This window comes from Homo sapiens, chromosome 9 (assembly GCF_000001405.40).
Source record: "Homo sapiens chromosome 9, GRCh38.p14 Primary Assembly".
Lineage (NCBI taxonomy): Eukaryota > Metazoa > Chordata > Mammalia > Primates > Hominidae > Homo > Homo sapiens.
Genome location: NC_000009.12, coordinates 113,402,315 through 113,429,922, shown reverse-complemented (window position 1 = coordinate 113,429,922; position 27,608 = coordinate 113,402,315). Strand labels below are relative to the sequence as shown.

Sequence of the window (27,608 nt, the reverse complement as noted above, 5' to 3'; positions counted from 1 at the left end):
CTTAAGACCAGCGACACAATGAACATTATTTGATAACAATGTAGATCCCATCTCCAAAAGAAACCATTTCTAGGGAATGAGAGGAAAATCTAGGGAGCATCATGGCAGCTCCCATGAGCCAAATTCAGCCTCCTACAACTGGAAACCTTTCAGAACTTCAGAGATAAGAGTGACCCAGAAAACAGATACCAAGAAACATCTTTCCCTTCCTCCTAGAAACAGAAAATAAGTCTTTTGATTGAAAAGCAGTTGTGTTTAATCACCAAAATTATTCTGACCCTAATGGAAAGGAAATAATCTAAATTTAAAAAGGCTGGGGATTTTTCTCCTACATTTATTTTAGAGGCAAGTAGAGGTGAACAAAGAAAATGGAATCCCTAAGCTCAGAGCTCAGGCCCTGGTAAAGGCTCCAGAGAGCAGAAGCCCCTCTCCTCTTGCCCTTATGTGAAACGTTGCTGCCCTCAGGATACCAGCCATCCCGCTTTGGAACACGGCTGCCCCAGGGGATGCCTTCAGTCTATTCCTCCAGAGGCTTCTCACTCTGCCCCAGAGGACTGGTCCTCCTCATCCTCATCATCAGTGTCCTGAAGAATCCTAAGTAGTTTGAGCTCAGAGTTCCAGCCTGTGCTAGCCATAATTTCTGAAAAGTTAAAGGAGATCTTCTTTTGCCTGGCAGCCTGGGCTTCTGGCACAGCGTCCACTGGAGCACTAATGTCCTTGTTAGTGGGTTCTGTTTCATACAATTCAGGACCTAAAAGAAGATGCAGTCATTAATTGCACCTGTAAACTCCTCTCAACTACAACAAATGGAGGACAGAAAAGGAAAAATGGGGTGTTTTTAGGACTTCTCTGAGATAGAGGAACTGTGCCTTCAGGGAGGTAAACTATCCTGGTCAACACAGGTTCAACTCTCCCTATCCTCAGTCACTTACTAAGGTTCCTCTACTCTAGTAACTTACTTTTTACACTGTGGTGGAAATCCGCATGGTCATAGTAGTTCATCTTTGGTCTCTCCGTGGAATCCTGAAATTCATTGGGGTATAAGGAAATTTGAATCAAGACTTTAGGAAACTAAAAGGATTTTTCTAAAAGATGCTTCTCTTGGAGAAATTAACATCTAAGATGAGCCAGAGACCCACCTCTTGGGACTGAAGAGAAGCTTTTACCACACGTTCTTTGCCCTCCATGCTGTCCAAATGAACCTAGAACCACTCCTTCCCATTCCCTGCAGTCAACTAAGGGCAGACGGCCTCCAAAGATGGCTTCCAACAATTCCTCCCATTCTGGTATGCACATGCTGTTCCTCCCATCAGGAGATAGGGCCTATTTCTTCTCTTATTTACTCTCTGGGATGGACTTGTGGCTTCTTTGGCCAAGAAAATGTGGCACAAGTAACACTGTTTTAGTTCCAGGCCCATCCCTTAAGAAACTGCTTTCATGAAACTGCTTTCATGAGACTACTATGCTATCAAAAAGCCCAAATAAGCCACATGCAGAGGCCTCAGGAAGGAAAACCAGCAACTTGGCCAACAGCCTCAGCCCAGCTGCATTAAGTGACCTCAAGCAGGAGAAGAACAACTGTCCAGTCAACCCACAGAATCATTAGCAATAGCAAATCATTATGGTTAAGCTTTGGGGTTGTTACATAGTAATAGATAACTGAAACTGGGTCCTAGCAGAGGCCTTGGTACACTCTCACCTGTTTCGAAGTGGTTCCTTTTTCCATCTGCTGCTGCTGCTTCATGTCACTGTTCTGACCTGGCAGAGTTCTGTAACCTAGTAACCAAAGAGTCCATTCAATCTTCCTCTTATTACCATATCATACCCTATTTGGGGGCTTCTAGGTGACCCCTAGTCTACAAGTGACTCTGCATCCAGGAAAAGACAAGACCTTGATGGCAGGTAAAAGGTAGTTAGACCTTCTGAGTTCTACTTGAGATTCTGCTCACCTGGGACTGTAACTTCATCTATTACAGAATTAGAGATTACGCTCAAGTGTGTGTTAAAAGACCCAGGATTCCTCCAAGAAACCCTAATCTACTTTTTCACAGCATATGAATACTCCTCTTACCAGAATGTGACTCATCTTCTTGCGCCATCCCTCATGTACCCATAAACAAAGCAAAAACAAAAACCTCTAGTTTTATGTTTCTTTTGCATCAGCTGCTTCCCCAACTAGTCCCTAGGTAGATTCATTCATTCTTTTCTCAATCTCCCTTTCCCTAAACAAACATCTTCCAAGCTGCCACCAGAGGTATTATGCTAAATTATAGCATTTCCATGGACTCCCTACCAGCACTGGTTCTCACCTTAGCTGTACACTGGGAGAAATGAAGAGCTTTAAAAAACAAACAAACAAAAAACACTGAGGCCTAGTTCCTACCATCAGAAATTCTGACTTAATAGCTGGGACACAGTCTGAGTATTAGAGTTTTAAAAGCTTCTTGGCTGGGCGCAGTGGCTCACGCCTGTAATCCCAACATTTTGGGAGGCCGAGGCGGGCAGATCACCTGAGGTTGGGAGTTCGAGACCAGCCTGACCAACATGGAGAAACCCCGTTTCTACTAAAAATACAAAATCTTAGCCAGGCGTGGTGGTGCATGCCTATAATCCCAGCTACCGGGGAGGCTAAGGCAGGAGAATTGCTTGAACCTGGACCCAGAAGGCAGAGGTTGTGGTGAGCCGAGATCACACCATGGCACTCCAGCCTGGGCAACAAGAGCGAAACTCCGTCTCAAATAAATAAATAAATAAAAGCTTCACAATTGGTCTTAGTGTACAGTCAAGGCGGAGCACCACTGGCCTGGATGATAAAGGTCAAAAGACTTAGCAGTCCATACAAGCCCCTGCCTACCTCTTTGGTGTGATAGACCACTCTCCCTTAAATACCCAACCCCACAACCACACTCAACTGCTCAGTGTTTCCTGAGCAGCTGTGATCCTCCTAGATGCCTTTGCACAGGCTATTCCCTCTCAAGAGTTCTTTCCCATATCAGGAAAACTCCCACACATACTCAAGATTCAATGCAAAAATCATCTCTTCCATAAAGCCTTTCTCAACTCAGTGAGGACAGGCCACTGCTCTATGAACATGACTCACAGAGGCACCCCAGTCACCCAAGCAAAATTGCTCCTATTGGAGGCATTGGGAAGGGGTACAAAAGGCACCAGAACGGAATTCAGGGGAGTGGTAGTGGTCACCCTAGATGGAGTGTTAACCTTGGATACATCACCTCCTGCCCGGGGCCAAGCCCTGATTCTGTCCACCTCCCATAAGAAGGGCAGGAACCTTCCAACCTTCAGGTTAGAGCAGATCATTGGCATCAGACAACTAAGTGAGATGGGAAGGAAAGCAAGAGGGCAACATCCTTCTCAGGAAACCTCATCTCAGCCCTCCCAGTGCCCCAGGATTGGAGAGCTCTTTCTGATGATTAAACAGTTGTTTTCATATTAAAGTCAGCAATGTCCAGTCTGAGACGGGCACAACGATCCTCCAAAGTTTGGGGGGATTCTTTCTCCCTCCTCCCATTCTCCACTCAAGTTGAAAAATTTTGGAGGGATAGGGGTAAGTATATGCCTGAGCTCAGACATAATAACGACTCCAAAAAGGGGAGATGTCCATTCTTGTGTCCAGCATGAGCACTGGAGCAAAAGAACTGCCTGACAAGAGTTGGCTCCCTGACTCCTGGATGGGGCTAGACAATGTGTTGATTTTAACGTGAGGCTCCAGAGACTCTCTACCTTGTGGCAGGAAGGTTAGGGGGCCCCAGAGCTCTGCTTCCTTAGAACTCTTTTGGGGTTCTAGTGAGGGGCCCCAGCTCTCCCTGCCTCATTGGAAAATGGGCCCTCAGGGTTTTCTCTTCAGTAACCTGGGCTTGTTCCTCTCCTGATCCTCAAAGTGCTCTGCCTTTTCTAAGGTAGAACCTGAGGAAAAGATGACTGGGATTCATGTTCATGGTCATCTTTCAAGCCCTCATGTGAAGCAGACATCTGGCTCAGCTTGTTTGTTTAGCAAATTTATGAGGGAAGGATGGTGCATGAGAGACCAGACAGACTGAAGCATTCCAAGAAACTCTGAGTGCCTGACAAAGGCAGGTCTCAAAATGACAAGAGCATGTTTAGCTTTTCCTGCCCTCAGATACCTACCCCTCAGGGATCCTATCACCCCCAACCAAGCATATATTCCCCTTACCATAGAGACGGTCATGAACGGTGGTAACTGGATGTTTATGTGAAGTGCTCTGGATCCCTGGATCACTCTTGGCTTTCTTTTTAGCCTCCTGAAACCCACATCAGGAGGAACAAATTAGGATTTTTGGAAGTAAAGAAAACTTTTTTCAAAAGGAATATCAAAAAGAAGGAATTTAACATCTACAACCAGACAAGAACTTTTTATCTATAACCAGATAGAAAACAAGGAGACCCCCACCTTTCATACATCCCTTCCCATTCCAGGCTGTAGACCTCTCCCAGTCCCAGCAAGCCCCTCACTGCCACTCTACCTGTTTCTTAATAGGTGTTTTCACCTTCTTCTGTTGCTGCTGCTGCTGCTGCTGCCGCTGCTGCTGTTTCCTGTAACCTGGTGACCAGAGAGCCAGCTTGATCCTCTTCTAACAGCCCCCTCTCTCCCACTGGAATGCCTGCTGTGCCTTCCTTCACAATGGTGACTCCCTGGTAAGGACCAAGCCAGAGGGGCTGCTTCCTGAAACTATTGTTTCCTGAGTTCTACATGTGACCCTGTATGACTGTGGCCACAAATATAACTGAATTGGACCACGTTAAAGTATGAGAAATGTGGGCTAACAGAAAATGGTGCTTAGAGATCCAGCAGCAACAGCAAATCTACCTTCTGTCTTCAGGTTATGTAATTTCTTCAAACGTTCAGGATATCGCAGTGCTGGTCTCTGGAGAAAGAAAAAAGAAAAAGAAAAGCTCTACTGCAGGTCTTTCCCTTTCTCCAAATGTATCCCCCAAATGCGTTTATTCATCCAGTCAACAAGCACATTTTAAGAACCCAGTGTTTTGCAGCATTGTACCAGGGGCTACGGAGGAAGGGAAAAGGTGTGGGGAACAAAGTGCAGAAGAAATAGAGAACATGGCCAGGCATGGTGGCTCATGCCTGTAATCCCAGCACTTTGGGAGGCTGAGGTGGGCAGATCACCTGAGCTCAGGAGTTCGAAACCAGCCTAGGCAACATAGTGAGACCCTGTCTCTACAAAAAATTAAAAATTAGCCAGCCATGGTGGCGCACACCTGTAGTCCCAGCTACTCTGGAGGCTGAGGTAGGAGGATGACTTCATCCCAGCAGGTCAAGGCTGCAGTGAGCCATGATCAACCACTGCACTACACCCTGGGTGACAGAGTGAGACCCAGTCTCTCAAAAAAGAAAAAAAAAAAAAAAAGAAAGAAATAGAGAACATTGCTCTCTCAACACTTCCCCATCGACTGGCTTTTACATACATAGAGCCCAGCCTTCTCTGGGGCATGGGTTCAGAGTGGAAAGGCAGAAGGGAGATAAGGAATAGAATGTCAACTCTTCCAGATTTGAGGAGAGATGGGTTTGAATTTTCACATAGGCTTCTTCCCTGCTGTTTCCTAGCTCTTACTTCCAGGGTGAGGCGGTGTATAGATAGAAACATCTTAGAAGAAATCACACTGTCAGGTCGGTTCTTTTCCAAGGGAAGATTCTTTTTCATCATGGCCAATTTTATCTTCATCTCTGGACAGAGCATGGTTTGCTTTCCACCTGGCAAAAGTCTGAAGGGGACAGAGGACAGCCAGACAGTCAGCAACAGCTCTTCCCGGAAAGCATGGCTGAGGAGAAAGAGATGTAAAGGGCTCCAAGAAATTTCCACTTTGGGTCTGAAAAGGCCTGTACCAACAAGTGTTCATTTGGTAACACTTTTCTGATGCAACTACGATCATCATAGCTGCATATACTCAGTGCTGATTCTATGTCAGGCTCATGTGCTTTTACAACACCTGAGAACAGATATTACTCCCACTTTGCAAATGAGGAAAATGAAGCTTTAAGAGGCTAAATACATTACCAAAATTCATATAGCCAGTTAAGTTTCAATGTAAAATTCAAAGGTCATCTCACTGCAGACCACATATTCTGCCTACCACTTATTCATAATTCACCTATAAAAAGAAGACAGTGATAGTGCCTACCTCCTAGTGCAAATTTAAATGAAAGTACATGTGATATGCCTAGCACAGGGCCAGGCAAATGGTAAGTGTGACAAATGGTGGTGGTTATGATGGTCATCCCTGCCTGTTGGTAAGTCCAAGAGTTCAGTAAACAAATCGGGGTGATAGTTTTCTCCCAGTCCTACTCAGAAAAAGCACACTGTTTAGACCCATCCCAGCTTCAGTAAAAAGCAGGTGCTCTGGCTCTCCCACAGACCTACATGATACTTACTCCTTCAGTAGATCCTGAGGTAACGCTTCGGATTGAGCCCAGAGAGGTAGGAAATCTGAACTGAATTGTTCAGACAATTGCACTGGGGTTGGGGGAGGCACGATCATCCCTGGTGTTCCTACTCGTGTTCCTGCGGACTGATTTCCAGAGAGACCCAGAAATGACTTGCTTTTCTGGAAGAGAAACAATGGAAAGAATTCTCCAAAGCATTCTTTTTAGCCTAGTCCTTTCCATCAACATTCTAGCCTCTCAACACTACCCTGGCATGTACTCCAGCCATGGTTGCCTCCTCTGAACGATGAGGGCCGCCACATGTTTCCCTCTCAAGCTCCCAACTCTGTTGTTGTATTCAGATCATACAGGGATTCGTTGTTTTGTTTCATTTTCCAGAAAGGTCATTCGTTTACTCACTCAACAAACTGAACAAAAATTTATTGTCTAATTATGTGTCAGGCACAGGGCTAGGGATGGGGATTCAGCAATGAACAAAATGAACCAAGACACTACTCTCATGGACATAGCAGTCTTACAGTGACTTATCCAAGGTCACATTTACTCATAAATGGTACAATTAGAGTTAGAAGCCCAGGTCTTATAACCCCTAGTCCATTGAAATTCTATATGATCACGTTGGGGATTCGTTTTTAATTGACCAAAAACTCCCCCCCTGAACACGCAACAGTTCCTCCTATTATCTCAAGGTGCTCTTCATCTCCCTATAGGAAGGAGACAGAAAAAAGGAGTCTCTGAATAGAGAATGGTTTGGTTAATTATTCCTAAAGAAGGGTTTTCTTTAGCAGATTTGGATCATTTCAGGAAAGAACGGGGGTAAGGTGGAGGAGACCTGAAAGGAAAACAAAATAAACTCTACATAGCAATATTATAAAGGTTTGCACAAAAACATCAAACTCACCACTGCCGAGTTCTTTCTTTTCTTCTTCCCATGCTGGCTGGAGAAAAACAAAACAAAACAAAACAAAACATGCTTCTCAGCTGGACTTGAAATAAGAGTAAGCACAACTTATTCCCAGATATCTTAAACAGAAGCTCCAAGGATATTTGTGAATGATGACCACAAAGATTCCTATCTTTGATCAGTACTCAAAGATAGCTGGTTGGGAACCCAGCAGTAACTGCTGCCCAAGTACCTTCTGCTAAAAAGACCCCCCATCCTCATATCTAAATTAGGTTTCCCATTATTCTCTCAGGCAATCCGGTTACCTACTTTCATAGCATGAATCCAAATTAGAAATGATATATGTAGGTGTGGTTATGTCTGTAATGGCTGACTCCCCCTGACAAGGCTCCAACAGGACAGGGACCAAATCTATTTGGTTCACTAAATCCTCACTGCTTGACACAGAGATGTTTGGTAAGAAGTATTTTTTGCTCTGACCTCTTCCTCCTTGCCTGGGACGTGGATATGATAGCTGGATCTCTAGTAGCCAACTTATACCTTAAAAGCAGCCATGAAACTCCTTAGAAGTTGGAATCCATGGGCTAAGGATGACGGCCCAAAAAGCTAGAAGGAGCCCTGGTTTCTAATTATCTCATGGAGCTCACATGACCTAGCCTGCCTACTTCTGAGCTTCTTTCACACGAAAGGAAATAAACCCTTAGGGTTGTTTTTCATTTGTTTATACCATATATACACACACACAAATGCATATATATAGAGAGAAGCACTCACAGGATTATTTTTTAAAAAGAAAAACAAAAGAAATAAAAAGAAATTCTTAAGTTTCATCATCTCTAAATGTCACTTAAGAACCTGAAAGCCTCAAGGATCAGGAAAGAAGAACCAAACACTTTCCCCATGGTTGTCAATATTAGCAAGCCTTTGGGCCTTCACCAAATGGTCTTTGTCACACTCTTTTGTACACAAGTCCTATATGCTATTGCTTTTGTACACTGTACTAGGCCCTGGGGTTGAGAACAGAGATTCACATGCTTCACTGAGAACTTTTTCACTTGTTGCAAGTGGCTAATAAGAAAAACTAAGAGAGAGCATTTATTTCTTAGTCAAGCCTTATAAGTAAGTTGAGCCCTATCTTGTATGCTATTTACTGCCGTGTAAAATTTGATATGGAGAAGTCCCACAGCATGAATCTCAAAATGCATTACATTAAAATTCCAGTGTAGCAAAAGGCAGATGCAACAGACCACGACCTTCTCTGCTTGGCCTCCTGCTACTTGCAATGAGCTGGCTAAATGGGAGATCACAAAAAGGACGCTGCAGAAGACATCAGGGATTTATAGAGTCAAAGTCCTCTGAGTTCCAGATATGATACTCACCTCACATGTATCTCTGTTTCTTCTGGGATCCACAATACAACCATATTTCTAACATCTTCAGGGCAGGGAAGTTGCGTCTCATTCAAATTCAACACTGGAAACTAAGAGAAAGATATAAAGCCTATGTATGGCTTGAGGTGCTAAGCTCCTATATCAGATTAAGGATATGCTAAGCAAAGAGTCTGGTGGCACAGAAGATGATTTTAAGTTTCCCATCTTCAAGATATCTTCATAATATTCTCCCAAAAAAAACAGACTACTCCATCAAATATCAGTATAGGTATCTGCAAGAGTGAGTATTAATAAGCAGATAATCTCCCCTGCTTCCCTGTGCCATTAGGGTAGCATTTAGCAACTCCCAATCCAATCCCATATGAGGGTGCCCTGGGGCTTACCTACAGGAACATTACTTATCCTGCCCACTCCACTCCAAAGACTTAGATCCCACAGACATTACAATCTGCAGTTTGGGAGCAGGAAGAGAACTGATAGAAACAGAAGCAAGGTGTTTTCTTTTACAGTCTGACTACAATTATAGGCATTTATATAAAAGTCAAAGGCTAACTCTTCTCACATTTAGCTATTTAGGATCCTAGAACATAGTGCTCAAGGAAATCTTATAAATCACCTAGTCCATATTCCTGGTAAGATACACACACGAAAAAACTATTCAAAATAAGGTTGTCCCTGTGAAGACAAACTGATGGACTTGGAGGTAATAGGAGAGATTCCTTTTTATTATAAATCCTTTAATGCTTTTTGAATTTAAAAATCATGTTCATACATTATCTCTTCAAATAATTAACTTAAAATAATTTAATCTCGGCCAGGCATGACAACTCATGCACTTTGGTAGACAGAGGTAGGAGGATTGCTTGAGGCTGGGAGTTTGAGACCAGCCTGGGCAACATAGTGAGACCCTGTTTCTACAAAAAGTTTTTAATTAGCCAAGTGTGGTGGTGTGTGCCTGTAGTCTCAGTTACTCAGGGGTCTGAGACAGGAGGATGGTTTGAACCCAGGAGTTTGAGGCTACAATGAGCCATGATCATACCACTGCACTCCAGCCTGGGTGACAGAGAAAGACCCTGTCTCTTAAAATAATAATTATTATTGTTGTTATTATTATTTAATCTAATCCTCTTGTTCTAAAGAAGTCAAAGAGGTAAAGTGATTAGTCAATTCATCCATTCAAAACCATCTACCATCTCAGTTCCTTATACGCTCCACTACACATGATATTGAAAAGTGAAGCATCTCAAGAAAAAAATAAAAGGCATCCAGTAGTACTGCAAAGAATAGTAAATCTCTCTTTACCATAGTTAAGTAGGAGGGTTTTTTCTTCCTAAATTTCTAATTTAGCTCTACCCCTAACTAGCTGTGTGCTTTAGCTAATCACTACCCATCTCAGTTTCCTCACCTGCAAGATATATAAGATAGGCTGTGGTCTATCAAACCATTATAGTGTTCTTCAAACTGCAATTGCAACTTATTCATAGGTCATAAAATCAAATTTTTTGAATCACAGACCACATTGTTTAAAAATGAAATAGAATAAAACAGAATAGGGCAGAAAATATTAGAGTGCATAGTTAGGGTAAGGATTGTTCCATGGTATTTTTGTTGTAAAATCTATTTCTTACTGTAGATCATAGCTAAACACTTTGTAAGTTATCAGATGAGATGATCTTAAGGCCTACCTGGGTCTGCCATTCCAGCATTCCAGTTTCCCTGATTATGAGACGACAGTATTTACTGAGTAGCTGAACATGTTCTATGCAGGATAGAGACAGAAAATTCTCACCTACGCCAAACCCATACAAATAGATCCCACTGGCTTCTAGGATTTCTGAAAACAATATGGCATGTAGATAGCACAGAGTCTAGCATACAGGAAGGGCCCAATATTAGATGGTTACTATCAACATTACTATTCAGATTTTAGTCCTCCTGAGGAATAATTTCAAATAAAGGCAGAATAGTTTATTTCCACTAGTAAAGAAAAAATGTTGAAGAAGTACTTTTAAAATCTATGACTTACTTTGGGAAGTCTGTTAGTACAGTTGATCAAACTTTTGTCAGGTAAACCCTTCGGAGGCCTAAAAAATGAGTTCCACACATAAAACAGAAATACAAAAGACTTATTGGAATGATAACGTTAGTGCTATGAGGAAATCCTTCTACTTATCTACAGAAAACCTTGGGCTTAATGCTTACCAAATGAATGTAGGATCTCACCATATCCTTAAGTTTTGTTTGTTTTTCCCGGAACAGCTCCTTAACAGACATTGCACACTGCAAATACTTCACAACTATTTGTTCCATCAAACAGAATTCATAGCCTACTCTTCTCTCCAGCTAGAGACAGTTATATCACCATCAATGAAAGTTAATATTAAGTACTTTGATGTAGATGTTCAAAATACGTTACATAAATAAAATGCGGTATATACATACAATAGAATATCATTCAGCTTTTAAAAGTCATGAAATTCTGATACAGTAGTCCTTTATCCATGGTTTCACTTACCCACAGTCAACTATGGTCTGAAAATAGGTGAGCACCTATAACTAAGGTATTTTGAGAGAGAGAGAGAGACCACAAGGACGATATTCACACCATGAGTTTTCATCACAGTATATTTTAATTGTTCTATCTTATTGTTGTTAATCTCTTACTGTGCCTAACTTATAAATTAAACTTTACCATTGGTATGTATGTATACGTAACAACATAGTAAATATAGGGTTTGGTACTTTCACAGTTTCAGGCATCCACTGGGGGTCTGAGAATATATTTCCTGAAAATAAGGGGGGACTACAGTATATACTACAACACTGGAAACATTATACTATGTGAAATAAGCCAGACACAAAAGGACAAATGTTGTGTAATTCCACTTACATGAGGTATTTAGAACAGGCAAGTTCATAAAGACAGAAAATAGAATAGATATTACCAGGGACTGGGAAGAGGAGGGAATGGGGAGTTGCTGTTAATGGATACAGTTTTTGTTTGACATGATGAAAACATTCTGGAAATGGATAGTGCTGATGGATGTACAACACTGTGAATGTACTTAATGCCAATGAATTGTATGCTTAAAAATGGCTAAAATGGTCAATTTTTATTATGTATATATTTACCACAGTAAAAAACTCATATCCTTATGTTTTCATATCACTTGCTATTTTTCTTATTTTTTAAAAGACATGTTACATGCATGAATGAATGAATAATGTAAAGGGGTAAATGATAAAGATCTTTAGGAATGATAGTGGAATTTAAAAACAAAAAAAAGATAAAGACCTAACACTCAGCCTGCTTTATGAAGTCCTACATGACACAGACTCCTGCTTCCTGTTTCTACTGCAGCTCCCCAGCCTCATCTCTGACCACTCTTCCATTCCTGCTCTATGTTCTAGGCACAATGAACTATTTTCCTGATACAGACACAATTTCCTCTTGCCTCCAAGCCTTTGCATATGCTATTCCTATGGTTTAGAACTCGCTTCCTGCCAACCTCCCACCTACAACCCCCATTTCACTAGACTGCTCAGACTTCCAGTCTAGGCACAGATGCCACTTACACAGAAGACAGTGCCCTGACTTGGGAACCCTTTCTGGTGTTTCCACACACCAGGGGGCGGTCCTCTCATGACACTCATCATACGGACTGCTTATTTCTTTGCCTCCCCAACTAGGCTGAAAGTCCCTTGAGGATAAAGACTGTATGTTGTTTACTATTGTATCCCAGCATTCATCACAGTGGCCCGCACTAAAATACAGTTGTGAATTGAATGACTAAACAAATGTCATGGTCCCTGCTTTCAAAGGGCCTAAAATCCAGTTGGACAAACAGGAGATAAACATAAAAATATCAATAAGCATGTCAGGGACTGAAGTACTGGGGGTAGTTTGGAAGAGAGAGTATCAGAGGCTAGTGGGAAATGAGGAAACTCAACCTTGACAGAAGAAAAGGACCATATTCTCTCAATCAACAAATACTTATTATGTTTCCACTACTTGCCATGCATTGTTGAAGACATAGGAGACAGAGCAGCCAACAAAAGAAACATATGGTCCCTGCTCTTGTAGGGACTGACATTCTCATGAGAGGCGGCAAACAAATCAAAAAAATCATTTCAGGTCAGAAGAACTGAAGAAAAATGATGCTTGGTTAAATGACAATGAGGGTGTAAGGAAATTTTAAATAGACTGGTTGAGGAAGACTTCTGTGAAAAAGCAACATTTAAGCTTAAACTCAAATGACCAAAAGGAATTAGATGGAAGGATCTAGGGCAGTATTTCTCAACAAGGGGGCAATTTTGCCCCGAGGGGACATCTGGTAATGTCTGGAGGCATTTCTGGTTGTCATAACTGGAGGTAGGGTACTATTAGTATTCAATGGGTACAGGCCAGGGAAGTAGCTAAAATAAGACAGCCCCAAAGGACAAAGAATTATCTGGTCCAAAATGTCAATAGTGTTTTAAAAACAAAAAACAAAAGAACAAAAAAAAAAACCTAGTTAAGAGAAAAAGTGTTCTACTCAGAAGAAACAGTAGGGCCATTAGCCCTGGGGTGGGAGGTGTGGCATAGATGAGGAATTGAAAGAGCAGTGCAGCTGCAGCCTACTCAACAAGGAAGGGAGAAATGCGAGATGAGGTCCAGTAGGAAGGCCAGATCTCGTAGGGCCTTACAGGCCAGGAAAGGGACTTAATGAAGTGACAGGAAGGAAGAGGGCCTTTAAGGTTTAGGAAACTGCATGACAGAAAAGCACAATCAGAAAACCAGTCTCACACAGAGGAAAAGTTGGTGTTCAAGAAGAGAAGACTCTGATTAGAGGAGCCAGACAGTAAAGAGAGAGGCCACCAGTCTAGAGTTGGGAGGTTTGAGTCTGTTCTCTAGTAAACAAAGTTCTGATAAAGGGGCTTTTCAAGCAAGGAAATGAACAAAGCAATATTTTTGGAAGATTAATCTGTTGGCCATATGTAAAATAGCTTCGAGGAGAAAAGGCAGGGAAACCAGTTCAGAAGCCACTGCAAAAACCCACCATGTCATGAAGGACTGGTCTCCGACAGAGAGTGTGAAGCAGAAAGCAAGACACACTGAAGGAAGAAGGCGTGTAAACAGGGAAATGACTAGAGGAGGCAGCTCTCTCACAGCTCTGCGCTATACATGGCGGGCATGGCAGGGGCGGAGTGTGTCCCTGGGTATGAATATGAAGCATATCATAGGTCCTGACTGAGAAACACCGCTGTCTAACCAGAGTTAAAGTCCTAGAGAACATGAAAATAGTCACACCTCTTCCTATACTATTGTTAGCCAAAGAGAAATCATTAAGGGCTACTTAAATGGAACAGGAGAAAAGAAAATACTATGAGAGCCACCACTGGTGCTTTATTCCAGGTAACAAAGTCTTCGAATTTTTTAAGTCTAAGTTTTCCACAGATACCTGTCCCTTTGTTTCATGTACCAGCAAGCACTCATTGGGTACACAGACATTGTAGGAGACTCAAGAAAAGAAAAAAAAAAGGCACTGCTTTTTCCTTTAGGAGCTTACAAATAGTTTCATACCTAAAAATAAAATATTATTATAGAAAGACAGGGGCCGGGCATGGTGGCTCACGCCTGTAATCCTAACACTCTGGGATTACAGGATAACCCCTTTACATTATTCATTCATCCATGCATGTAACACGTCTTTTTAAAAATAAGACAAACAGCAAGTGATATGAAAATACAAGGATATGAGTTTTTTACTGTGGTAAATATATACATAACAAAAATTGACCATTTTAGCCATTTTTAAGCACACAATTCATTTCAGCTCACGAGTTCAAGACCAGCCTGGGCAAACATGGCGAAAACCTGTCTATACAAAAAATCCAAAAATTAGCCGGGAGTGGTGGCGCGTGCCTGTGGTCCCAGCTATTTGAGAGGCTGAGGCTAGAGAATCACTCGAACCCAGGAGGTGGAGGTTGCAGTGAGCCGAGATCACGACACTGTACTCCAGGCTAGGCAACAAAGTAAGACCCTATCCCCCACCAAAAAAAAAGGAAATAGAAAGACAGGGTTGGGCATGGTGGCTCACACCTGTAATTCTAGCACTTTGGGAGGCTGAGGCGGGTGGATCACTTGAGGTCACGAGTTTGAGACCAGCCTGGCCAACATGGTGAAACTCTGTCTCTACTAAAAATATAAAAATCAGCCACGCATGGTGGTGCACGCCTGTAATTCCAGATACTCGGGAGGCTGAGGCATGAGAATTGCTTGAACCTGGGAGACAGAGGTCGTGCCATTGCACTCCAACCTGGGTGACAGAGTGAGACTCTGTCTCAAAAAAGAAAAAAGAAAGATGGCATATATGGATGGTTTTCTGTCCGTACATACAGATGCTGATAAGATGGGCTGAATTGTGTCCTCCCAAAATTCATCGTTAAAGTCCCAACTAGTACTTCAGAATTTGACTGTATTTGGAGATATGGTTTTTTAAAAAGTTATTAAGGTAAAAATGAAGTCACATGAGGGGGCCCTAACCCAGTAAGACTGGTGTCCTTGTAAGAAGAAATTAAGACACAGACGCACAGAGGGAAGACCATGTTAACACATAGGGAGAGGGGCTCAGTATGGTGTCTCATGCCTGTAATCCCAACAATTTGGGAGGCCAAGGCAGGAGGATCACTTGAGGCCAGGAGTTCAAGACCGGCCCAGGCAACAAAGCAAGACCTCGTCTCTAATAAAAGTAAAAAAAAAAAAAAAAATTAACCAGGCGTGGTGGTGCACACTTGTAGTCCTAGCTACTTGGGAGGCTGAGGTGGGAGGATCGCTTGAGCCCAGAAAGTTGAGGCTGCAGTGAGCTATGATCGCACCATTGCACTCTAGTCCAGCCTGGGTGACAGGGTGAGACCCTGTCTCAAAAAAAATAAATAAAAAGGACACAGGGTATAAAAAATTACCATCTACAAACCAAGAGTGGTCTCAAAAGCAAACAGTCTTGGCAACACCTTGATATTGGACTTCTAGCCTCAAGAATTACAAGAAAATAAATTTTGTTGTTTAAGGCACCCAGTCTATGGTATTTTGTTATAACAGCCCTACCGAACCAATATACCTCCCAAATTAACCAATTCCTAGGGCACAAGCAGGAAGGGTTTCTTTCTGTTTCCCACTGCCTATTCACCACTTCTTTAACCCAATTGGTATTTTCTTTTTAATCTAGCTTTCTCAAAGTATACTAATGGATAAGGAAAATCATAATCCAGAATTTTGAGACAATAGGCTGTAAAGGAAGATTCCATGATAATTTACCTGCCATGAAATTTGGAGTAAAACTTTGAACTCTGAGACAATAAAGAATGGGCCTTAGTAAAGGTACATTCTGGTAAATGATGAGCTGCAAAGCCGGAATCTAAGATGTCTACCACGGTGAGCACTGGGAGTTTATCTAAGAAGGCAGACCAGAAGAAAACATGTTAACCTGCTGCCTGGAGAAAGGGAGCCACATACATAAATACGTTAAGGACCTCGTGAGGGAGAGGACAGAAGCTGGCTAATTCACCTTCAGCATCCAGGGGAGTTTTGCAGGATGAGCCGAGGATTCGAGGATGGCCCCTCTCAATGCGGCGGATAGTTGCCCAGCATTGTGGGTGCTGACAAACAGCCAAGCCACAGGTGGTTTCGTCCCACTGGCTCTCATCTGGCAAGTCCATAGCTAGAAATGGTTTAGGCCAAAGGCCAACCCTGCAGCATTCTAGTGCTCTGGAAAATCAACAGCTACATAATTAGGGAGTATTATACATTAGCCATACAGTCCAGATGTTAATTTGAACTCACAGTATAAAATATTTCTATTGAACCTATATAGGTAAATGATGGCCACAAAATAATTAAAGATTGGATAACAAGCAAGTATGAAAATAGCTCAGCATAAAGTAGAATGGCAAGAGTTTGAGAGCAGGACTTCAGGTCTCCTAATTGGCTATTTAATAGCTGAGTGACCTGGGACTTAACCAGTCTGAGCCTGTTGCCTCCACTGTAAAATGAGGATAAGCTTATTTCACAGGGTCATTATAAAAATTAGTTAATGGATATTAAAAGCCTGGCATATTGTTCCAAATAAATATTTGCATCCTTTCCTTTTCCCCTTCGTTAGTCATCAGGGAGAAGATGCCACCATCTCCAAAAAGCATTATCAAATTATGACCAAAGTAGTCACAGAAGTGTCTTAGAAGGCCCAAACTTCTGGAAGACATGTTTCATTTTTCAATGTGCTTCAGTTCCCATGCAGGCAGATAAAATACCCACCAGCAATGAATGTGTTTGCTCAAATAGCAAATCACTAGACACTGCTAGTTGCATCAGAGGCCATTAGCTTTTCATTCATTGGCCATATGGCCTTTGACAAGGGTCTTCACACCTCTCTCTCAAGTAGGGGGAGGGGTCCTGACTTGGTGTCTCAGGTCTGTAACCACAGCACTTTGGTAGGCCAAGATGAGTTACCCCCTCTCCACAAAAAATAATAAATAACATAAGCAGAAGGCAGGGAATCCCTAAGTAGGACTGCAGAAGCATTAAATGAGATAATGTACTTTTATTCATGGGAGGTGTTCAATAAATATTATCATCTTTTCCTTTCTAGAGGTGTTTTAGGCAATCACTAACTACCACCTTATTCCTAAGAACTTTTTAAGGACAGTGTCCATTTCTTTCTTTTATTCAACACATTTATTGATTACTAAATATGTGAGGGGACCTGCTTTGGACATGAACAGTAATAAACAAACTCCCTGTTCTAAACAGTTTCATAATTTAGATCAAAGATAAACTATCAGCCTGGGATTGCACCTGGCCTATTACTTGTTTTGTTTGGCTAGCACTTTGAATCAATTTTAAATTTGAATCAATTTTAAAATTGAAATAGCCCACAATGTCCTTTTAGGGACCAAAATACTTGACAACACTGAGCCCAATTCCAGTTGAAGAGCAACTGACTAGCGCTGAGCAGCCCTGATGGTTTCAGCCAGGTCTGTTCTATCCAAGCGGAGTTCCCCCACCAGACCTTATGGTCTCTAATTGAAACACTTTCAGTTGCCATTTATCATAGCATTTGCTCTTTTGTTTTAAAATATTTCTCTATAATCAGGCTTCTATCGAAAGCAGGAAAACTACAGGGCGACTTGGGACTGCATGCTTGACGGGAAAAAAAAGCAGCATTAATTCTCAGTGGGAGGCTGGGCGCCGTGGCTCATGCCTGTAATCTCAGCACTTTGCAAGGCCGAGGGAGAATCACTTGAGCCCTGGAGTTCGAGACCAGCCTGGGCAACATGGTGAAACCCTGTCTCTACGAAAAATACAAAAAATTAGCTGGGTGTGATGGAACGCACCTGTAGCCCCAGCTATTTGGGGCTGAGGTGGGAGGACCACCTGAGCCAGGGAGGTCGAGGCTACAGTGAGCCGAGACCGTGCCGCTGCACTCCAGCCTGGGGGACGGAGTGAGACCCTGTCAAGAAATTTTAAAAATTAAAAAATAAATAAAATCAGTGGGAGTGAGAATTTCTACGAACTTAATATAAAAATAACTTAAAAACAACTTAAAACACCATTGCGCCGGGCGCGGTGACTGGCGCCTGTAATCCCTGCACTTTGGGAGACCGAGGCGGGCGGATCACGAGGTCAGGAGATCGAGACCATCTTGGCTAACACGGTGAAACCCTGTCTCTACTAAAAATACAAAAAAATTAGCCGGGCGTGGTGGCGGGCGTCTGTAGTCCCAGCTACTAAGGAGGCTGAGGTAGGAGAATGGCGTGAACCCGGGAGGCGGAGCTTGCAGTGAGCCGAAATCGGCGCCACTGCACTCCAACCTGGGCGACAGAGTGAGACTGTCTCAAAAAAAAAAAAAAAGAAACGCCATTGCAAAACCTTGAGAATGGTTTTAACTGGAAAAAATGTATGATGAACAATTTAACTGAAAAATAAATACAATTTTAACACGGTTTGTTTTTGAAAGCGAATGTGACGTTGCATTCTTCATACAGTGAAAAGGCTGCTTCTCGCCCTTTCGTTACCTGCCCAGTCCGAATTGACTCCTGAGACCTAATCAGGCGCATCTCTATATGGCCAGCATTATCCCTGGGCTGCCTAAATAGTTCGCGTTAAACACAAACAACAACAATAAAATCTAAATAACACTCAGTCTTAGTACCATTATTACAAAAGCGTGAGGGGCGAAAAGATTAAAAATGAACATCAACTTCGGTAGAGATGGAAAAAGACTGCCCACTCCATTCCAGGAAAGAAAAAAGAAAGTGGGAGAATCTGATCACGACGGGCTGAGGTCCTGTGAGAGCAAAGCAGATTCCAAACCGCTTAGGGTTGCTAAATCAAGTGGTAAAACGTGGCCCCTTGCGGCGCGGTGAGATTAACGGACCCGGCGGGCCCAGAGCCTGCCTCGGGTCCTAAAGGGATCCGCCCCGCCGAGTCAGCCACGCCTTCGTCTCCCACGCGCTGCGCCCGGCCGCGCCGTCACCCAGCAGCGGCGCAGGGCACCATGGGAAACGGACGGAAGCTCCATTGAGCCAAATAAGTTGGTGAGAAGGTTCCCGACGCGGCGATGGCGAGAAGCAGAGAAATGGACCTGGGGAGGGGCGTGCGGGGTGCGGTAGGGTTGGATGGAAGCCTTGGCGGGCCAAAACCACTGCGGCTTCAAAATCCGGATGCGCCGGTATTTGAGGCGGAGGCGGGGCTGTGGGGGGAGGAGGGAGGCTATGGCGCTCAGAGCACTGTGGGACACTGTAGGCCACGTGGGGCGGAACGGAAACCTCGCAGGGTCAGACCGTAGCGACGCGGGAAGTCCGGACGCAGTAGCTCCCTGAAGCGGAGGCGAAGGGGAGTTTAAGCCCCAGCGGCGGCAATGGCGGAGAGGCCCGAGGACCTAAACCTGCCCAATGCCGTGATCACCAGGATCATCAAGGAGGCGGTGAGCAGCTCGGGGGGGGCGGACGAACGGGCAGGAGGGAAGCAGGTGCTGGAACGGCAGCTTTGCTCACCCCCGGTCTCCTCGCAGCTCCCGGACGGTGTCAACATCTCCAAGGAGGCCCGGAGCGCCATCTCCCGCGCCGCCAGCGTCTTCGTGCTGTACGCCACATCCTGGTGAGCGGGACAGAGGCATAAGGGAGGCGCGGGGATACCTGGCTGGGAGTTGCTGGCTGGGAGCCTACAAACCCCAACGATTGTGTTCTCCCTCGGTGGGGACATGTTCACAGTCCTCTGCCAGTTTTTACAAGTTCTGAAGCAAAATAACACAACAAAATCACTTTGCTTTAGCTTTTTTGTGCAGAGAAGGGAAGGACTTATCCCTGTCACACCAAAATCCATACATGTAAGAGGCAGGCTTTCCCGTTCCACCTCTGGGTGCTCCTTTTCCCACTCACGCCTTACAAACAAGAGGGAGTCTGACAGCCTTTCTCTTCTCTCAGTGCTAACAACTTTGCAATGAAAGGAAAGCGGAAGACGCTGAATGCCAGTGATGTGCTCTCAGCCATGGAAGAGATGGAGTTCCAGCGGTTCGTTACCCCATTGAAAGAAGCTCTGGAAGGTAACGAGCCTCTTGTCTTCTAAACCACATAGAAGATGGTCATCCTGTGTGACCTGTTCACCAGGCCCTGAGCCTTCTCAGCGCGGGTCCCTTTAAGTCCAGTAAGCCAGCACTTGATGTGACTCGACCCAGTTCGGTGGGCACCACCTCAGATCTGTTTTGTAATGCTGAGCAAGTTATTTTTCCTTCTCTGCCTCCGTTTTTGTTTTTGTCTTGCTTTTCTTGTTTTTGTTTTTTTTTTTTTTTTTTTGAGACGGAGTCTTGCTCTGTCACCCAAGCTGGAGTGCAGTGATGGGATCTCAGCTCACCGCAGTCTCCTCCTCCTGGGTTCAAGCAATTCTCCTGCCTCAGCCTCCCGAGTAGCTGGGACTACAGGCGCACGCCACCACGTGCGGCTCATTTTTTATTTTTGTAGAGACGGGGTTTCACCATATTGGCCAGGCTGGTCTTGAACTCCTGACCTCAGGTGATCCGCCCGTCTCAGCCTCCCAAAGTGCTGGGATTACAGGCGTGAGCCACCGCGCCCATCTGCCTCCGTTTTTCCAATTGTACAATGTAATTAGCTCCTGCAGTCCGTCTGGCTCACTTTCAGCTCTGTCTCCTAACCCCTTGTTCCGTCCTTACAGCATATAGGCGGGAGCAGAAAGGCAAGAAGGAGGCCTCAGAGCAAAAGAAGAAGGACAAAGACAAAAAAACAGACTCGGAAGAGCAAGACAAGAGCAGGGATGAGGACAATGATGAAGACGAAGAAAGGCTGGAAGAAGAAGAACAGAATGAAGAGGAAGAAGTAGACAACTGAAAAGGGCGGGAGACTGTGGCACCTTGGAAGGTACCACTTGAAATGAGACGTGCTACGTGTTTCTGTGAAGCTTTTCCATGCTGGGCAGAGTAGTCTCAGGCAAAAGTGCCTGAAAAGATCAGAATAAAAACTGACTAGAAATACCGTCAAAACCAGCACTTACCAAACTCAGAGCATCTGAGTAGCAGAATCCTGTTTTGCTTCATCAATCTGAAGGTTATGGCCTTTTGACAAGAGGGATTCTGAACGACTAAATTAGTCAGTTTGCTCGCTTTTGTTTACTTAAATGTATGGTTAGATGGTTTTTGATCTGCAGTCTTCCCTAGTCCCCCAAATAAGTAATAATAACTTCCATGCTGCCTGCTGTGTTCCAGATCACAGAGGCAGCCAAGGCTCAGGAAAAACTGGGGCTTTGCTTATGGTCAGCCTATGTTTGATTGCACAGTCTTTGACAATAGTAGCTTACTAAGACTGCTCAGAATGAGTAAGCTTTAGGAAACTACTAAAATGCTGTGGGAGAATAACAAAATCCGTTCTCTCTCTTCACTTGACAGAAGCATTAACTGAATTTTGTTTTTCATAGACCCACTTGGCCCAAAACCTTTCTATATTGCCTGTAGATGATCGGCCTGCTGGTGTGGTAGTAATCTGATCACAGATATTCTTAAATCAGCAGTGTGGAATGGTATTAGTCAAACATGGTGCCAGTGTCTTTTACAAAAACAGATGGCATAGTGTCAGATGTACCTTACTCTCTGCTACTGTACAGCTTTAGGATTTGTCATCACCTCCCGGAAGGTGTAAAACCCCAGGCTTCCTCTTCTTGTAGTCCATCTCCCAGACTTGTGACTATGGCTTTTCATTCTTCAATTCATGACGAGTGCCAAACTTGATTTTCTCTAGGCACAGCTTTCTCCCTCTGTGCCTCCTGCTTCCTTTCTCTCTCCTGCCTCTCCTCTGCTCCCCATCCCACTTTCTCATCTGCCTCCTTTTCTCACTTCTGTCAGTCTGTAAGCTTTGATAACCTGCTTAATACTCCAAAGTGTGAGTTCCTCTGATCTCTTGATTCCTTAGTTCTAATCTCACGTTTTGTTTTTAAGAGATGGAGTCTCTCACTCTGTGGCCCAGGCTGGAGTGCAGTGGCATGATCATAGCTCATTGCATCCTTGAAATCCTGGGCTCAGGTGATCCTCCCGCCTGAGCCTCCTGAGTATCTGGGACTACAGATGCGTGCCACCAAGCCTGGCTAATTTTGTCTCATGTCTTCTAAAAATTATTTTGTGAAGCCCCTTCACAAAAAACCTTAAGGGAAATCTGATGGTGCTCAGGAATCTAACTCTCCCTAAACCATCCTCTTTAACTGCTTCTAAAATATCTCTGTTGGCCTTTCTTAGCCTTTTTCTGTTTCCATTCAGTGCTCCAAGCGCTTTTTGTTTCTAAGTTGAGTGCTTGGGGTTTGACAGGTAGTGACGTGTAGTTTGACACTGTTAACTTGTTAAATACAGTGAAAAGTTTGTGAGTGAAGAATGCTGAGAAGATTGTAATGCTTTGTACAAATAAAAGTCTTGTTAAAAAATGATGCCTCCTGTTTCATGCTGCTTGTTCACAGTGTGTTTTTGGAGAGAGCCCCTGATGATACTCTCCATGCAGTTTTTGGCGTGTGGTCCTGGCCAGACCTTTGTAAACATGAGATACTGCATCGCCTTGGATGACCAGCAGGTGCTGCTCATTCACAGGCAAGGGCTCTGAACTACTGCAAGAGCATTTGTTTTGTTTTGTTTTGTTTTTTTTGAGACAGAGTCTCAATCTGTCGCCCAGGCTGGAGTGCAGTGGCATGATCTCGGCTCACTGCAACCTCCGCCTCCCAGGTTCAAGCAATTCTCCTGCCTCAGCCTCCCAGGTAGCTGGGATTACAGGCACCCACCACCATGCCCAGCTAATTTTTATATTTTTAGTGGAGACAGGGTTTCACCATGTTGGCTAGGCTAGTCTGAAACTCCTGACCTCAGGTGATCCACCCACCTCAGCCTCCCAAAGTGCTGGGATTACAGGCGTGAGCCAACACACCTGCTGAAAGAGCTTTTTTTTTTTGTAGACGGAGCCTCACTCTGTCTCCCAGGCTGGAGTGCAGTGGCATGATCACGGCTCACTGCAAGCTCTGCCTCCAGGGTTCACGCCATTCTCCTGCCTCAGCCTCCCTAGTAGCTGGGACTACAGGCACTCGCCACCATGCCTGGCTAATTTTGTTTTTGTATTTTTAGTAGAGATGGGGTTTCACTGTGTTAGCCAGGATGGTTTCGATCTCCTGACCTCATGATTCGCCTGCCTCGGCCTCCGAAAGTGCTGGGATTACAGGGGTGAGCCACCATGCCTGGCCGGTGCAAGAGCTTTTCATGGATGTGCTGGGCACCCTTATACATACTAGATTCTCAGCAGCTTCATTTATTGAGCCCCCTACTGTGTCTGGCACTAACTGCTTTCAAGTATTAACCCTTTTTTATTTTTATTTATTTATTTTTTGAGACAGAGTCTCACTCTGTCACCAGGCTGGAGTGCAGTGGCACAATCTCGGCTCTCTACAACCTCCACCTCCCTGGTTCAAGTGATTCTCCTGCCTCAGCCTCCCAAGTAGCTGGGACTACAGCCGCGCACGCCACCACACCCAGCTAATTTTTGTATTTTTAGTGGAGATGGGGTTTCACTATGTTGACCAGGATGGTCTCAATCTCTTGATCTCGTGATACACCCGCCTCAGGCTCCCAAAGTGCTGGGATTACAGGTGTGAGCCACCACGCCCGGCCTTAATTTTTTTTTTTTTTAATTTGAGACAGGGTCTGTGTTACCCAGGCCAGTCTCCAACTCCTGGGCTCGAGCAATCCTCCTGCCTTGGCCTCCCAAAATACTGGGATTACAGGCATAAGCCACCACACCCAGCCCTAAGTATTAACTCTTAAACCCTATGAAGCAGCACTGCTGTTACCTTTATTATCTCTTTACCACAATGCTATATCACCTATCTAATCTACATAGCTTTTTCTTTTTTATTTTGAGACAGAGCCTCGCTCTGTCACCCAGGCTGGAGTACAGTGGCGTGATCTTGTCTCACTGCAGCCTCTGCCTCCCCGGTTCAAGTAATTCTCCTGCCTCAGCCTCCCTAGTAGCTGGGATTACAGGTACCGGCCACCACGTCCAGCTAATTTTATTTTTAGTAGAGATGGGGTTTCACCACATCGGCCGGGCTGGTCTTGGTCTCGAACTCCTGACCTCAGGTGATCCGCCTGCCTCAGCCTCCCAGAGTGCTAGGATTACAGGCGTTCCTTTTTTTTTTTTTTTTTTTGAGAAGGACTTTTGCTCTGTCGCCCATGCTAGAGGGCAGTGGTGCCATCTCGGCTCACTACAACCTCCGCCTCCTGGGTTCAAGAGATTCTCCTGCCTCAGCCTCCTGAATAGCTGCGATTACAGGCCTGCGCCACCACACCTGGCTGATTTTTGTATTTTTAGTACAGACAGGATTTCACCATGTTGGCCAGGCTGGTCACGAACTCCTGACCTCAAGTGATCCGCCCGGCTCTGACTCCCAAAGTGCTGGGATTATAGGTATGAGCCACCGTGCCTGGCCAAATCTACATAATCTACATAGCTTCTTCAAATCATAAATTTATAAATAACATTTCACAAAGATACAACCCCCAATACTCATTAGATCTAATAGCTTTTTCCTTCACAGTAGAAACATCCTTTCTTAATTCCCATGAGCACTACTCAACTTCTGTGGCTTCCTTTAAGCTCAGTCCCCTGCCTCATCTCCACTTCCCCTAGTCTCCTCTGTGGATTACTTGGCACGTGGATCTTCCTGGAGCATTGCTGGGTTACAGACCCTCCTTGTTTCCTATTAAATCAAATCTATACTTAAACCTATTATTCAAAGCCTGCATGAGAAGGGCTCACCCTGCTACCTATTTTAACCTGCCACTCTCTAACAAGGCTATGTGCTCTAGTCAACGGTGAATCCCCAAAAGAACTCTTCCATATGGCTTTAGTTAATTCTGCCCCATTCATCACCAAACTTGGACTACCTAAGAAAAACATGTTTCCTGAAAATAGGGACTATTACTTTGAAACTACAGAATTTGGCCGGGCGCGGTGGCTCACACCTGTAATCCCAGCACTTTGGGAGGCCAAGGCAGGCTCATCACGAGGTCAGGAGTTCGAGACCAGCCTGGCCAATATGGGGAACCCCTTCTGTACTAAAAATACAAAAATTAGCCGGGCATGGTAGCCTGTAGTCCCAGCTACTTGGGAGGCTGAGGCAGGAGAATCGCTTGAACCCAGGAGGCAGAGGTTGCAGTGAGCTGAGACTGCGCCACTGCACCCCAGCCTGTGTGACAGAGCAAGACTCTGTCTCAAAAAAAAAAAAACTACAGAATTTAACAACTGGTAAAAATTTTTGACATCATCCACCAGTATTCCCCCCACCACACTTCTATCATTACTGCAGTGGTATCTGGACTTTTGAAGTTCCTTACTAGGCTAAGGTAATGTTTCACTTTTTTACCATGGCCCTTCATGCCCAGAGATTCTGATTTGGATTCGGGAGGTGGGAGGGTTCTCGTCCCAACCCATTCAAAGCTACTTTTGCAGCCTAACCTCCTATTTTTACTGATAGGAAATTGAGGTTCTTCAGAGAGAAGTGACTTGCTCAAGATCTTACCAAGAATTTATGAAAACTGGGATTCTGTTCCAATGACCTTTGGCCTTGCCCCGTTTTTTTTTAATAAGCTTTTTATATTTCAACAGTTTCTCTACTTATGTCCTTTTTCGATTACAGGGGCCAACCCAGAATACCACATTGCATCTAGTGAACTCACTTTTTAAGACTGAGATGAAATTCAAAGAACATAGAATTAACCATTTTTAAATGAGCAGTTCAGTGGCATTTAGAACAGTCACAATGTTGTGCAACCACTACCTCTATCTAGTTTCAAAACATTTTCCTCAGGCCCTGGCAATCAGCAGTCTGCTTTCTTTCTTGTTCCTTTTTTATGCTTTTCACAGCATTTAGCACAATGCCATATACCTACCTAGAAGACACTCAGAATAGTTTAGTTTTAACTTTTTATTGAAACGAAATATACATACTAAAAGACACAAATAAGTGTGGAGCTTAATGAATTTTCACGAATTAAACACAGCCATGTAACTCACACCCAGACCAATAAACATTAACTGCATCCAAAGAAACCTCTTTAGTCTCCCCCTGCCGCCTTTTTTTTTTTTTTTTTTTTTTTTTTTTCTGGAGACAGGGTCTTGCTCTGTCATCCAGGCTGGAGTGCAGTGGTACGATCACAGCTTACCGCAGCCTTGACCTCCCAGGCTCAAGCAATCCTCCCATGTCAGCCTCCCAAGTAGCTGGGACTACAGGTGTCCACCACCATGCCCAGCTACTTTTTGTAATTTTTGTAGAGACTGTTTCGCCATGTTGCCAAGGTTGGTCTTGAACTCCTGGGCTCAAGCGATCCACCAGCCTTGGCCTCCCAAAGTGCTAGGATTACAGGTGTGAGCCACCACACCCAGCCTAATCTCCCTTTCAATCCTCCCCATCTCCCCAGTGGAAATCACTATTCTGAGTCCTAACAACACAGCTTAATTTTGCTTGATTGTGTAGTTAATATAAATGAAATCATATTATATACTATTTTGTGTCTCACTTCTTTTACTCAACAATATGTTTAAGATTTATTCATATTATTGCATTCACAATACTGAAAGATTAAGGTAAAATGTTTCAAAAGGTGGAGGCTGGGGGGAGAGTGGGAACAGGTCTTTCAGTCAAGAAGAAGAAAAGACATGGGGGAAATAAGCTACACCAAACAGCAACATTTTAAAATTTCCCGTTCTATTTGGGTTCTTAGATGGTTCTAATTATTTTTAGTTACCAATAACCTCAGGGAAGGAATGAGTGTCAGGAAAGAAATGTCGGGCAGGGAATCTAGGAAAAAACAAATAATAATTGCCCCTATGGAGTGTGGTTATTAGCAGGCATTGCAGAGAGAGCCCAGTGTAACATGGGGCAAATTATTTAATCTAGCTGGCAATTGTTTTCCCAATCCGTAAAGTGAGAATAGTAACATCGTTGCTGTCAAGATTAGATAAATGAATGTAAAATGCATGGTACTGTCCCTGACTCTTTAATGCACAGCAAACATTATTTGCTTTCTATCCCCTTCCTTGTTGAATACAGATCAGAACTCCAGTAGCTGGAAACTAAGCAGTGTCATATTTCCCTAGCCTTACGCCGCTAGGCCCCTTAAATTTAAAATATAAAGTATACAACAGGTTTGGGGTACAGATTTTGAGAAATTTAAAAAAAAATTTTTTTTTGAGACAGAGTCTCCCTCTGTCACCCAGGCTGGAATGCAGTGGCATGATCTCAGCCCATTACAACCTCCGCCTCCCGGGTTCAAGCGATTCTCCTGCCTCAGCCTCCCGAGTAGCT

At 43.9% G+C, this 27,608-nt stretch overlaps 2 protein-coding genes across 13 annotated transcripts, besides 6 other annotated features; one reads left to right on the top strand and one right to left on the bottom strand.

Moving 5' to 3' along the window:
* Positions 1-232: 232 nt before the first annotated feature.
* C9orf43 (chromosome 9 open reading frame 43) lies at positions 233-19,176 on the bottom strand. 10 transcript variants are annotated; one of them, XR_007061270.1, is made up of 14 exons: positions 18,922-19,176; positions 16,279-16,478; positions 16,029-16,164; positions 10,758-10,815; positions 8,720-8,820; positions 7,338-7,374; positions 6,425-6,597; positions 5,607-5,757; positions 4,847-4,904; positions 4,503-4,579; positions 4,193-4,280; positions 1,700-1,776; positions 960-1,033; positions 233-751 (listed from the first exon to the last, which is right to left on the bottom strand). XR_007061270.1 is itself a non-coding variant. In XM_024447490.2 (14 exons), exons 2-14 carry the CDS (start codon positions 16,427-16,429, stop codon positions 537-539), a joined length of 1,386 nt encoding a protein of 461 aa, XP_024303258.1. In that variant the 5' UTR covers positions 16,430-16,493; positions 18,785-19,176; the 3' UTR covers positions 233-536. The 10 variants fall into 10 exon arrangements, 9 of the variants coding, with proteins under 9 accessions (XP_024303258.1, NP_689999.1, XP_024303259.1 ...); XM_024447490.2 differs by having other exon boundaries at positions 960-1,023; positions 16,279-16,493; positions 18,785-19,176; NM_152786.3 differs by having other exon boundaries at positions 960-1,023; positions 18,785-19,176.
* Positions 17,649-18,548: an enhancer, noted in NCBI's record as "H3K27ac-H3K4me1 hESC enhancer chr9:116173655-116174554 (GRCh37/hg19 assembly coordinates)". NCBI's record gives its function as "activates a minimal SCP1, AML or CMV promoter by ChIP-STARR-seq in primed H9 embryonic stem cells {active_cell/tissue: H9 hESC(primed)}" and the evidence as "EXISTENCE:reporter gene assay evidence [ECO:0000049][PMID:30033119]".
* Positions 19,167-19,356: an enhancer, noted in NCBI's record as "active region_28839". NCBI's record gives its function as "activates an Ori minimal core promoter by ATAC-STARR-seq in GM12878 lymphoblastoid cells {active_cell/tissue: GM12878}" and the evidence as "EXISTENCE:reporter gene assay evidence [ECO:0000049][PMID:35858748]".
* Positions 19,167-20,450: a biological region, named in NCBI's record as "CDK7 strongly-dependent group 2 enhancer GRCh37_chr9:116171753-116172952".
* On the top strand, positions 19,174-22,688 carry POLE3 (DNA polymerase epsilon 3, accessory subunit). Of its 3 annotated transcripts, none has more exons than NM_001278255.1 (5): positions 19,174-19,306; positions 19,545-19,695; positions 19,783-19,868; positions 20,195-20,313; positions 20,940-22,688. In NM_001278255.1, exons 2-5 carry the CDS (start codon positions 19,630-19,632, stop codon positions 21,110-21,112), a joined length of 444 nt encoding a protein of 147 aa, NP_001265184.1. In that variant the 5' UTR covers positions 19,174-19,306; positions 19,545-19,629; the 3' UTR covers positions 21,113-22,688. The 3 variants fall into 3 exon arrangements, with proteins under 3 accessions (NP_001265184.1, NP_059139.3, NP_001420648.1); NM_017443.5 differs by having other exon boundaries at positions 19,248-19,306; positions 19,515-19,695; NM_001433719.1 differs by lacking the exon at positions 19,174-19,306 and having other exon boundaries at positions 19,549-19,695.
* Positions 19,251-20,450: an enhancer, noted in NCBI's record as "CDK7 strongly-dependent group 2 enhancer chr9:116171753-116172952 (GRCh37/hg19 assembly coordinates)". NCBI's record gives its function as "activates an origin of replication core promoter dependent on BRD2, BRD4, P300/CBP, MED14 and CDK7 cofactors, with strong dependence on CDK7, by STARR-seq in HCT116 cells {active_cell/tissue: HCT116}" and the evidence as "EXISTENCE:reporter gene assay evidence [ECO:0000049][PMID:35650434]".
* Positions 19,449-20,348: an enhancer, noted in NCBI's record as "NANOG-H3K27ac-H3K4me1 hESC enhancer chr9:116171855-116172754 (GRCh37/hg19 assembly coordinates)". NCBI's record gives its function as "activates a minimal SCP1, AML or CMV promoter by ChIP-STARR-seq in naive H9 embryonic stem cells {active_cell/tissue: H9 hESC(naive)}" and the evidence as "EXISTENCE:reporter gene assay evidence [ECO:0000049][PMID:30033119]".
* Positions 19,597-19,876: an enhancer, noted in NCBI's record as "active region_28838". NCBI's record gives its function as "activates an Ori minimal core promoter by ATAC-STARR-seq in GM12878 lymphoblastoid cells {active_cell/tissue: GM12878}" and the evidence as "EXISTENCE:reporter gene assay evidence [ECO:0000049][PMID:35858748]".